This window comes from Homo sapiens, chromosome 12 (assembly GCF_000001405.40).
Source record: "Homo sapiens chromosome 12, GRCh38.p14 Primary Assembly".
NCBI classification, from domain to species: Eukaryota; Metazoa; Chordata; class Mammalia; order Primates; family Hominidae; genus Homo; species Homo sapiens.
In genome coordinates, this window is record NC_000012.12 from 52967200 (window position 1) to 52979683 (window position 12484).

Sequence of the window (12484 nt, forward strand, 5' to 3'; positions counted from 1 at the left end):
GTGGTGCATGCCTGTAATCCTAGCTACTTGGGAGGCTGAGGCAAAAGAATCACCTGAACCCGGGAGGCGGAGGTTGCAGTGAGCCAAGTTTGTGCCATTGCACTCCAGCCTGGGTGACAAGAGTGAAACTCCATTCTCAAAAAAATAAATAAATAAAATAAAATAAATAAACAGATGGTTCAAGTTTGGCCTCTCCCAGTAGGAATCCTCTTTGTGGCCTTCCTAACATCTGGCCTCCGTTTGAAGAATTTATGACAGTATAGCCCCTGTTGGATAATAATTGTATAATTACTGGAACATTATTGTTCCTTCTACTGGGCTGAAATCTGCCTCCTACTAACCTTCTAAACTCAGCTCTGCCCACTAGAGTTACACAGAACTCCCTCTTCCATTAGATTTCAGCCATAAGTGATTATTCTTCCCCTAACCTGTATAAAAGCAGCCCCAGTCACGGTGTAAGGATTTAGCTGCACTGCTGGCCTCAACCTCACCTGCCTGAATGAGCTGGAAAATAATTATCTACACAGAAACAGCCCAAGGAATTAGAATGATAGTGATGCTCAGATCCGGGGAGGCTGTGTCCCCCTGAAGGCCCTGGTCAGATCCTGGTGAAGTGGATGGTGCTGCCACAGGAGGGATGTAGGGTAAACTTCTCAGAGACTCAGGGCACTCCAGTGATCTGGGCCCAAAGCACACAGTTCCTTTTCCTCTCCCCACAATCCACACTGGAGCAGCAGGCTCTAGTGGGCCCCTCCCAGGCTGGCAGAACTTTCCCTATCACCCACTCCCCAGAAGCAAAAAAAGTTTAAAAAGCACCAGCCTAAGGCTGGGTGCAGTGGCTCATGCCTGTAATCCCAGCACTTTGGAAGGCTGAGGCGGGCAGATCACAAGGACAGGAGTTCAAGACGTGCCTGACCAACATGGTAAAACCCCGTCTCTACTAAAAATACAAAAATTAGCCAGGCATGGTGGTGCATGCCTGTAATCCCAGCTACTCGGGAGGCTGAGGCAGGGGAATTGCTTGAACCCGAGAGGCAGAGGTTGCAGTGAGCCAAGATCATGCCATTGCACTCCAGCCTGGGCAATGGAGCAAGACTCCGTCTCAAAAAAAATAAATTATTGTACATTTAAAAATAACTAAAAGAGTATAATTGGATTGTTTGTAACATAAAGGATAAATGCTTGAAGTGATGGATGCCCTGATGAGATTATTATGCATTGTATGCCTGTATCAAAATATCTCGTGTACCCTAAAATAGATACACATACTGGGTACCCACAAAAATTAAAAACTTTTTTTTTTTTGAGACAGAGTTTCACTCTTGTTGCCCAGGCTGGAGTGCACTGGCTCAATCTCGGCTCACTGCAACCTCCGCCTCCCAGGTTCAAGTGATTCTCCTGCCTCAGTCTTCCGAGTAGTTGGGATTACAGGCGCCCACCACCACACCTGGCTAATTTTTTTTTTTTTTTTTTTTTTTTGGATTTGGAGTAGAGACGGGGTTTCGCCATGTTGGCCAGACTGGTCTCGAACTCCTAACCTCAGGTGATCCACCTGCCTCGGCCTCCCAAAGCGCTGGGATTACAGGCATGAGCCACCAGACTCAGCCAAAATTAAAAACTTTAAAAAATAAATTAATAACCACAGCAGTAGCTAGTAGCTAATGGCTACCAGATTGGACAGGACAGTGCAGCACCAGACTGTAAGCTCCCTTTGAGCAGAGACTGGACTATCTTGTTCACTCTTATGCCCTGATACATAACACAATTCCAACACATAAACAGCAGGTTGTTATTTTCTTTTTTAAAGACAAAAATTTGAAATTGTAATTTTTATTAAATTGTAAATAAAATGTTATTTTATTTTATTTAATAACCTATAGCATTTGCCAATATCCAAGGTATAAATACTGCTGTCATGGTTGATTTAAAATGGTTTAATTCTGGGAAGCAAAATTTTCAAATTTAACAATCTTCTCTTACTAGCTTTTGAATGAATAAGCAAATGAATGAACAAATAAATGAGCAAATAACAAACCAAGAGGAGTCTCTGCATGCCTCACCCAAGGAAAAGAGGACAAAGGAGAGTAGAAGAATATTTCAAGATGCCAGCAGTCCTCTCACTCTCTTTGCAGGTCCTCTTTGTTCCAGGAAAGAGAACTTAGTGGGAGAACAATTGAACTTCCTCAGCTTCGCTTCACACACACCCCAGCTTTAAGAAAGCCCAGGAAGAATTTGTTTTTTTTTTTTTTTTTGAGACGGAGTCTTACTCTGTCACCCAGGCTGGAGTGTAGTGGCGTGGTCTCGGCTTCTCAGCTCACTGCAACCTCCACCTCCCAGATTCAAGCGATTCTCCCGCCTCAGCCTCTCCAGTAGCTGGGATTACAGGTGTGCACCACCACGCCCAGCTAATTTTCGTATTTTTAGTAGAGACAAGGATTTCACCACGTTGGCCAAGCTGGTCTCAAACGCCTGACCTCAAATGATCCACCTACCTCGGCCTCCCAAAGTTCTGGGATTACAGACATGAGCCACCTCACCTAGCCTTTGGATTACAGACATGAGCCACCTCGCCTAGCCTTTTTTTCTTTTTAAGGAAAAAAAGAAAAATAAAATCTCATCTTAATCTGCTCCATTTTTTTTTCTTTTTAAAGAAACTTTCCCAAGTCACTTAAACAGTCTTCGTAATGGGAAGGCACTCAAACTATAAATCTCCCTGTCATTTAGGAATGCTCAGTGCAAATGTTTATAGAACCCGGGCACCACTTTCAACCTCTCCTTTGAAGAAGGGCTTTGTAATCCTCCTCTGGGGTCACTCCTACATTCCAAAAATGTTCAGGAAAGGAAGGGAAGGTGCCCACCAGTGGGACAGCTTAGACCCAGGTCCCCACCCTCAGGTTCGGCCCTAAGAACATAAAGATACAAGAAAGGTCACGAGGTTAATTCAAAGCCAAGGAATGTCATGGCAGTAAATGCTGCAGGTGTTCACGGGGAGGATGATGGCCATGATTTGTGGCAGAAGTGAAACCTGAGAGATGCTAAGACTTGTGCAGTGGGAAAGGTGAGAAAATAATGAGAACAAAGTCCCCAAGGCTTGGCTGCATGCCTGGCAGCTAGTAGGTACTGCATAAATACAAGTTCATTGGCTCTCCTTGAGTTGTCTGGCTGGGGTCCCAGAGACTGAAACTTTGCTCTTGGCTGCAGCAGGGGCAAGATCGCAGGGGTGGGTACATGCCAAGCCCCAGGCAGCACGTCACCAGAGAGATAATCTTGAGCTGGTGGGAGCAGCCAGGCATGCAGTGGGGCTGAGCTGAGCCAAAGCACAAAACAAAAAGGTCTCATCCCTGTGGCTATAATCAAGGATGCCAACCCTCCGGCTGCCCCAAGACCCCAAGCCTAGATAAGGAGACAGCATCCTGCCTGAAGAGTGTGGCTCTGTCCAGTCGGGGTCTCAAAGGCCTACTGCCCACTTTGGTGCTGCCTTTAGCCCTGTCTAGCACCAGACCCAGCCACAAGGAGCACCTCAGGACTATGGCATACTTCTGTTGACCGGATGGTCACAGCCGTGGTCAAATCAAAGCCTTCTTGGGGTTCCCTGGAGCTGTCACTCATCTGCCACCACTTTCAGGCCTCTGTCACCCTAACCCAGCCCTTCAACACAAGTTCTCTGGCTTCTTCAAGCTCCTATCAAGTAATACAAAATCACCCTTAAAAGGCTCTATAGTATTGTTCAATTCCTTATCTAATACTTTCAAACCCCAAAAAACTCTGAAAACCAAAAATTCTTCATAACTCACATGCAAAACCTAACATGAAGTTATTTATACTTTTTTTTTTTTTTTTTTTTTTGAGACGAAGTTTCGTTCTTGTTGCCCAGGCTGGAGCGCAATGGCACGATCTCGGCTCACCGCAACCTCCGCCTCCTGGGTTCAAGCAATTCTCCTGCCTCAGCCTCCCAAGTAGCTGGGATTACAGGCATGCACCACTGTGCCTAGCTAATTTTGCATTTTTAGTAGAGATGGGGTTTCTCCATGTTGGTCAGGCTGCTCTTGAACTCCCGACCTTAGGTGATCCGCCCACCTGGGCCTCCCAAAGTGCTGGGATTACAGGCGTGAGCCACCGCGCTCAGCCTATTTATACTTTTTATATATTCCATTTAGTGTGAATATTCATACATTTCACTGCAGCAATATTAATAAGACTGAGTCCATGATTACACGTGCCACAGATCCCCCCCTCCCCACTGTGGTTTTCCTTAGTATACATTTTATGTACCACATTTCCTTTGTAAAATCTGAAAGATTCTGAATCCTGAGAGTCATCTGGACCTACAGGTTAGGTTAAGTGATTGTGGGCCTGCAGCATAAGCCCAAGTTTAGAGTGAAAGAATTCCAAGCTGAAATGCCTACTCCCCCAAGAGATGCACAGGCCCCTGCCAGGCAGAACAGACAGGGCCTTAGAGCTGATGGTGGGAGGGTCCCAGGAAGACAAGGCAGGGTAGGGGACTTGGATAGCTCAGGGCAGTGCCTCTTCGCCAGCTGGTGCACAAGCGCAGTGTTTCTAGGCTTTCACAACCACGCAGCAGCCCAGGGTGTGCCTGCTGCTCACCAGGATGACTCCACCTCTTCCATCAGCCAGAGCTTGAGCAACAACTTATCTCCCCACCTGGGTTTCTTCATCATTGCGAGGAACCCACCTGGGAGCCCTGGGTGGGGACGAAAGGAACTAAGGCATGCAGCATACTTAAGGAACTCAGTGGGGGTGGGCTACTTTGATTGTTCCTTTATTCAGTGTTTCTTGACCACCTTGTACCATGGTAGACCCCTGTGGGCAAGACAATGTATAAATTACCGTGTTAAGGACAGACAGAAAGTACACAAATAATTAAAAGCAAAATTGAACTGAGCAGATTAAAGTGAGATTTCAGAAGAGAGTTTGGCCTGGAGAAAAGAAGCTTGGGAGGAAAGAATGCTGCCTGGGGCGTCAGGAGCCCTGGGTTAGGTCAGGCTGACTCATTTCGGTGACTTTCACAAGGTTCTTCTTCTCTGGGCTCAGTTTTCCTCATCAGCAAAATATAGATTTAGCCTTAGATCTCCTCTAAGATTCCTTCCATTTTCTTTCTTTCTTTCTTTCTTTCTTTTTTTTTGAGACAGAGTTTCGCTGTTGTTGCCCAGGCTGGAGTGCAGTGGCGCAATCTAGGCTCACCGAAACCTCTGCCTCCTGGGTTCAAGTGATTCTCCTGCCTCAGCCTCCCAAGTAGCTGGGATTACAGGCGCACACCACCATGCCCAGTTAATTTTTGTATTTTTAGTAGAGACGGGGTTTCTCCATGTTGGTCAGGTTAGTCTCAAACTCCTGACCTCAGGTGATCCACCCGCCTCGGCCTCCCAAAGTGCTGGGATTACAGGGGTGAGCCACTGCGCCCGGCACCTTTTTTTTTTTTTTTTTTTTTTTTTTTTGAGACAGAGTCTTGTTTGATCACGGCTCACTGTAACCTTGACCTCCCACGCTCAAGCAATCTCCTGCTTCAACTTCCCAAATAGCTGGGACTACAGACATGCACCACCATGCAATCTCCTGCTTCAACTTCCCAAATAGCTGGGACTACAGACACGCACCACCATGCCCAGCTAAATTTTTTTTTATTTTTAGTAGAGACGAGGTCTCACCATGTTACCCAGGCTGATCTCAAACTCTTGAGCTCAAGCGATCCTCCTGCCTTGGCTTCTCAAAATGCTGGGATTACAGGCGTGAGCCACTGAACCTGGCCTCCCTTCCATGATGCCAAATATCGGAAGGTCTGTCATTTAGGAGAAGATAAATTATACCTACTCTCTGTGATTCCCAGGGGTACAACCAGACAGAAGCGTGGAAGCCAAAGGAGGCAGGCTTGCTGAGATGAAGGACTTTCTGAGGTGCTCTCCTGCACTCAGGAGGCCGCCTCCTCCTCATCCCAGTGCAGCAGCCTGGGGTTTGTAAATTAGGTAGAGAGTCAGAATGGGGTGCCACACAGTCCCCTCCCTCCACAAGTCCATAAACTCAACCTCCAGAATGGCTTTGGGTTTGCAGAGCATTTGCCAATTCACCAAGCAAGTCTGATTTCATCCTGGGAGCAGACCTAAAAGACAGCAGGGCAGGAACTCAAGGAGTCTTCAAGGAGGCATGGGGGATGAGGGCCCTGGGAATGGGCAAGGGAATAGCACCTGGATATGATGTGAGTTACACATTAAGGGAGATGTTGGCTTATGCCTGCAATCCCAGCACTTTGGGAGGCCTAAGTGGGCAGATCACCTAAGGTCAGGAGTTCAGCCTGGCCAACATGGTGAAACCCCATTTCTAGGCTGGGCGAGGTGGCTCACGCCTGTAATCCCAGCACTTTGGGAGGCCGAGGAGGGCAGATCAAGAGGTCAGGAGTTCAAGACCAGTCTGGCCAACATAGTGAAACCCCATCTCTATTAAAAATACAAAAAATTAGCTGGGTGTGGTGGTGTGTGCCTGTAATCCCAGCTACTCGGGAGGCTGAAGCAGGAGAATTCCATGAATCCAGGAGGTGGAGATTGCAGTGAGCCAAGATCGTGCCATTGCACTCCAGCCCGGGTGACATTACGAGACTCCATCTCAAAAAAGAAAGGAAGGAAGGAAAGAAGGAAGAAGGAAGGAAGGAAGGAAGGAAGGAAGGAAGGAAGGGAGGGAGGGAGGGAGGGAGGGAGGGAGGGAGGGAGGGAGGGAGGAAGGAAGGAAGGAGGGAAGGAAGGAAGGAAGGGAGGGAGGGAGGGAGGGAGGAAGGAAGGAAGGAGGGAAGGAAGGAAGGAAGGAGAAACCCCATCTCTACTAAAAATACAAAAAAATTAGCCAGGCGTAGTTGCAGCCGCCTATAGTCTCAGCTACCAGGGAGGCTGAGGCAGGAACCCGGGAGGCAGAGGTTGCAATAAGCCAAGATCGAGCCACTGCACTCCAGCCTGGGCAACAGAGCAAGATTCTGTCTCAAAAACAAAATTTTTTTTTTTTATTTTAAAAATTAAAAAGGGAGGGGAAGGCCAGGCGCGGTGGCTCATGCCTGTACTTTGGGAGGCCAAGGTGGGTGGATCACCTGAGGTCAGGAGTTCGAGACCAGCCTGGCCAACATGGTGAAACCCCATCTCTACTAAAAATACAAAAAAATAGCTGGGCGTGGTGGCAGGTGCCTGTAATCCCACCTACTCAGGAGGCTGAGAATCGCTTAAACCTGGGAGGCAGAGGTTGCAGTGAGCCGAGACAGCGCCACTGCACTCCAACCTGGGTGACAGAGCAAGACTCTATCTCAAAAAAAAAGGGGGTAGGGGGAACTTATAGTCATCTATGCATATAATACACAAAATGCAAATTATACACCAAATAGCAGAATATAATCAGTACGGGGTTAGTGGTAACAAGGGCTGGCAGGGGCTGTGGGAGGAGTTTGTGTCCTCACTCTGCCCTCCCCTCTCCAGCTGGGTATTTCTGCTCCTGCCCCTGTTCTCTCTCTGTTCTCTCTCTCTCTCTCTCTCTCTCTCTCTCTCTCTGTGTGTGTGTGTGTGTGTGTGTGTGTGTGTGTCTTTGTCTGTTTCTCTCTCTCTCTCTCTCCCTCTTTCTCACTCCTCACATTGGCTCCCACCCTCCTCAACCATGGCCAGATGGCACCGAGGAGGAGACGCAGCCCCTGTCCTTGAAAGGTGTAAGGTGTGGCTGGGCAAACACCAGGCCAACCCATCCACAGGAAACCCCACGGGGCCAAGGCCCAGCAGAGTCCTCTCTGTTTTGGCACCAGAGACAAAGGATTGTTCCAAGGATTACAGAGAAGGAGCCAGGCTGGCTGGCTGGGAGGAGAAGGAGCAGGGAGAGGGGCTTCCTGGAGGGGTGGGCGTCACACTGATAGACAAGAATGAGTGGACTGTTCCTGAGTTGCAGAGGGGCCAGATGACCCCCTTCAAGACTGAAGTGCTTCAGATAGCACTCCTACAGCAAGCTCAGATAGCACTCCTACAGCAAGCTCAGAGACAGGTCCAGCATCCTCCACCTTTCCAGTCCTGTCCAGGAGAAATGGGGTGGGCGGGGATCCAGGACATGAAGAAAGGCACGTAGCCTGCCTGCAGGCAGAGATGGGTGAAGAAAACTCCAGGGGCTGAGATCCTAACACTTCTGCTGAATTTTATCTCCCTCCTGTAATAGCCGCTCCAATGGTCCCATCCCAGCTGCACAGAGAGATATCCCTGGACAGAAGTCAAACAGCCACAGTGGAATAATCCCAGTGAGGTCACTTCCTCCATCCTTCTGTCTGCATTCTCTGAGGCCCCCAGGAAGCAGTGCAGGACTGCACTCTGGTGCTTTTATCTTCCCAGGACATGACTTCTGTGGGGGAGAGGGGCCAAGGCAGTGAGGCCTGGGACTGGGGGTCACAGGAGAGAAAGGAGACACTCTGGGGAACCTCTGTGGGTGGACTGAACCTCTGGGATGTCCCCATGGGCCCATAAGCTTCAGACCAGCCCCCTTGCTCTCAAATTATGGCCCACCCGCTTCTCCATTCCCCACACCCACTGTCCCGGGTTGGGCTGAGGTGCCAGCATGGAGAAGCCACATGGCATGCAGTGTACGGAATCCTTCCCTGGACTGCGCCAGGCCCTCTGGCCCAGAAAGGTTCATCCTGTCCTGTGCTACCTGGGAGGTAGGGAGGGACTCAGGTCCAAGCCCCACTGTGGACAGAGCCCTGGCCAAGCATAGACACAGGGCGTCAAGAATCCCAGGAGAGGGAGGGTCTCATGGCTCCCCAATCCCACCCATCCTGCATCTTCATCAAGGTACTTCTGGGCCCCTTGAGACAGTGGCAGCAGCTGAAGGTGAGGAGTCAGGGGATAAGAGAGCATGAGACCTTCACCTCTCCACCCCGCACCTCTCTAATTTGCTTCCAGAATTATCTTTAAATCCACATTGTTGCCCTATCACGACTCCCCCCTGAAACACCTGTGATGGCCTCTCATTGTTGAAAGCATAAAATCTGATCTTCCCCCTGCATTCCATCTCCCATATCCACCTCCCTACTCAAGTGCCCCGTCTGCCCTTCACTAAACCTACTGTTCCACCTGAACTAATCTCAAACAACGTTTCCCAAACTGCCTCCTGCCAGGAGTTCTCCCCACCCTTCCATGTCCTGCATCCCACGTTTTCCTCAAGGCTCAGTGCAAATCACGCCTCCTCCCTGAAGCCTTCCCCGTAACTCGGCTGCCACCCTCAGGCTGCCTGCCAATGCTGTCTCCTCCTCTGACACCTCTTATGAGCACCACTCATCAAGATGGTCCCTTTAGTACTTGGCGTGCCTGGCCCCACATGTTGGCTGGCATTGTTTATTTGAATGAACATTGCCTTGGTACAATGATGGAGCCTGCTCTGTCCTCCTAGAAGAGACAGGAGAGAGAAGCCCATAGCAAGGGTCAAAAACTCCCAGCCTGAACCTGGGAGATGTCCATATACTGATGAAATGAGAGGTTCCCCTCTGGGTTCCAATGCACAAGCCCTGTACCAGATGAGGGAGCCATAAGGGATGCAGACAGAGACTCAAAGACAGAGACAAGGGCTGAGGGAGGGGGGATGGAAAGAACTGGGGAGCCAAAGACTGCAGCGGGGAAAGAATGCAGTGTCCATCCTAAAAGAAGGAAAATGGAAGTTTCCCAGGGAGGAGGGTGCCTGATCTTATCTGCTGTTTACATTCCAGAGAGCCCCTGCTTCTGCTTCTCATCTTAATTAGAGAATACTTGAGAAGCCCTGCCGCCGTGCAGAGAGAAAGGAATGCAGGCCCCCACTAAACCCCAGCCTGCCCCCCTCACCCCTGACCTCCTGCTGGCTATGTGGTGGGACTGATGGGAGTCTGGGTTCTGGATCCATTTTCTGTTTTCTGTTTTTTTGTCTACAGTGGGCTGATCCATTAAGCTGGATTCCTTGAGAGAGTATGTGAGAGGGTCTGGGAACTGTCAGGGCTCCACTCCTGCAGGAAACAAACAAACAAACAAACAAACAAAATTAAAAAGTATTAGAAAGAGCCACTGAGAGGAACAGCTGAGATTCTCTCAGTCAGTCTGCCATTCACCCCCTCAAACATCGCCCTCACTCCACCACCATAATGTCCAGGCAGGGTGCTGACACTTCACCGTTCACCTCCCACCCTGCCCCGGGCTGTCCTCCAAATGTGTGTCAGACACAGTGCTGGGGGACTTATACTTCTGTCATAGTCTCTGTCTTCAGTAGCATATGGTAAGAGCCAGGATCCGCTATTAAACATGCTGTGAGTGGGTAGAGACAAAGTCTTGTCTTGTAGGGTGAGCAGGCAGTGAGGTCAGAAAGGGCATCACAGGTAGAGGAAAAAGCATGGGCAGAGGTCTGGAACCCAGTCCCTCTTCATACCACCCGCTGACCCTTTCCCCTCCCCCCCACATGAGATTTCTCCCCCTCTCTTCTCTCTTCTCTCCCTCAACAATTCCAGGGTTGCCCACCTGAAAACAAGCTCCCTGGACCACCTTCCCTTGCAGCTCTCTGTTCCTTCTCTCTTTTTTTTTTTTTTTTTTTTTTGAGACGGAATCTCACTCTGTCACCCAGGCAGGAGTGCAATGGTGTGATCTCAGCTCACTGCAGCCTCTGCCTCCCAGGTTCAAGTGATTCTCCTACCTCAGCCTCACGAGTAGCTGGGATTACAGGTGCCCACCACCACACCCAGCTAATTTTTGTATTTTTACTAGAGATGGTGTTTCACCACATTGGCCAGGCTGGTCTCGAACTCCTGACCTCAGGTGATCCACCCGCCTCAGCCTTCCAAAGTGCTGGGATTACAGGCGTGAGCCACTGCGCCTGGCCAGCTCTCTGTTCCTTCTCATAGCTAAGCATCTTACATCATTCTCTCTCGTTTTGTTGTTGTTTTGTTGTTGTTGTTGTTGTTGTTGTTGTTGTTGTTTGAGACAGAGTTTTGCTCTTGTTGCCCAGGCTGGAGTGCAGTGGCGCGATCTCGGCTCACTGCAACCTCCACTTCCAGGGTTCAAGTGATTCTCCTGCCTCTGCCTCCCAAGTAGCTGGGATTATAGGCATGCGCCACCACACCTGGCTAATTTTGTATTTTTAGTGGAGATGGGGTTTTATCATGTTGGTCAGGCTGGTCTCAAACTCCTGACCTCAGGTGATCCACTTGCCTCGGCTTCCCAAAGTGCTGGGGTTACAGGCTTGAGTCACTGCATCTGGCCTTACATTATTCTCAAAAGAGGTCTACACACAGGCTTTCCCCTTCCTCACCCAGTTCACTCTTCAGCCCCTCCAGGCTGGCTCAGCTCGTATGGCTCCTCAGAAGCTGCACTAGCCAAGGTTCCCAGAGACCTCCATGTTGTTGAAATCGATGGACACTTGACATTCCTTTTGTTCCTTGACCACTTAGCTTCCAGCAGCTGCATGCTCCCTCCTTCTTTTTTTTTTTTTTTTTTTTTTGAGATGGAGTTTCACTCTTGTTGCCCAAGCTGGAGTCCAGTGGCATGATCTTGGCTCACTGCAACCTCCATCTCCCAGGTTCAAGCGATTCTCTTGCCTCAGCCTTCCAAGTAGCTGGGATTATAGGCGTGTGCCACCACACCTGGCTAATTTTTTGTATTTTTAGTAGAGACAGGGTTTCACCATGTTAGCCAGGCTGGTCTCGAACTCCTGACCTCAGGTGATCCACCTGCCTCGGCCTCCCAAAGTGCTGGGATTACAGGCATGAGCCACAGCACCCAGCCTCTCCCTCCTTCTTGAAACACTCTCCTTCCTAGTCTCCCAGACACCTCGTGCCAGGCTTTTCTCTAGTTATAGTTTCTCGGTCCCTTTTCCCCACTCACCCTCCTTGACATGGTCTGTAACTTGATGTTTCTGATCTATAAATTGACCTGATATAAAGTTGATGTTCCTCAGGGCTGGGTCCTGGCCCCTATTCTCTTATTAATAGGGACTATTTTCTTGAGTCATCTCATACCTTGCCCTGGTTTTAATTGCATCTTCTATAGACCAAAGACTTCCAGATTGTGATGTCCAACCAGACCTTTCTTGTGAGCTCCAGAGCAGCCTATGGAATATTCTACTTAATGCCTCTTTTTAGATGACTCTTAGGCATCTCAAATTTAACCTGTTCAAAACTGGATTATTGATCTTAGCTCCCACCAGCTTCATAATTCTTGTTCATCTTAGTAAATGACACACCATCCATCTAATTGCTTGTGCCAGAAACCTGGGAATCATATTTGACACCTCCTTCTCTCTTGGTCTACCCTATGGATCTAATAAATTAATAACCCTACTTCCACAGTAAGTCCAAATCTATTCCTTTCTCCCCATCCACACCCCACATCCAGGCTGTAGGCATCTGTCCTCTGTACTATCACTGCAACATCTTCCTAACAGAAAGTCTTCTCATGGCCACCAGTAACCACTCAGCCTTCCTCCACACACCAGCCAACATGGTCTTCTTTAA

General features: G+C 49.1%; 2 annotated features.

Moving 5' to 3' along the window:
* Window positions 4024-4951: an enhancer, noted in NCBI's record as "OCT4-NANOG-H3K27ac-H3K4me1 hESC enhancer chr12:53365007-53365934 (GRCh37/hg19 assembly coordinates)". NCBI's record gives its function as "activates a minimal SCP1, AML or CMV promoter by ChIP-STARR-seq in naive and primed H9 embryonic stem cells {active_cell/tissue: H9 hESC(naive and primed)}" and the evidence as "EXISTENCE:reporter gene assay evidence [ECO:0000049][PMID:30033119]".
* Window positions 4952-5877: an enhancer, noted in NCBI's record as "OCT4-NANOG-H3K27ac-H3K4me1 hESC enhancer chr12:53365935-53366860 (GRCh37/hg19 assembly coordinates)". NCBI's record gives its function as "activates a minimal SCP1, AML or CMV promoter by ChIP-STARR-seq in primed H9 embryonic stem cells {active_cell/tissue: H9 hESC(primed)}" and the evidence as "EXISTENCE:reporter gene assay evidence [ECO:0000049][PMID:30033119]".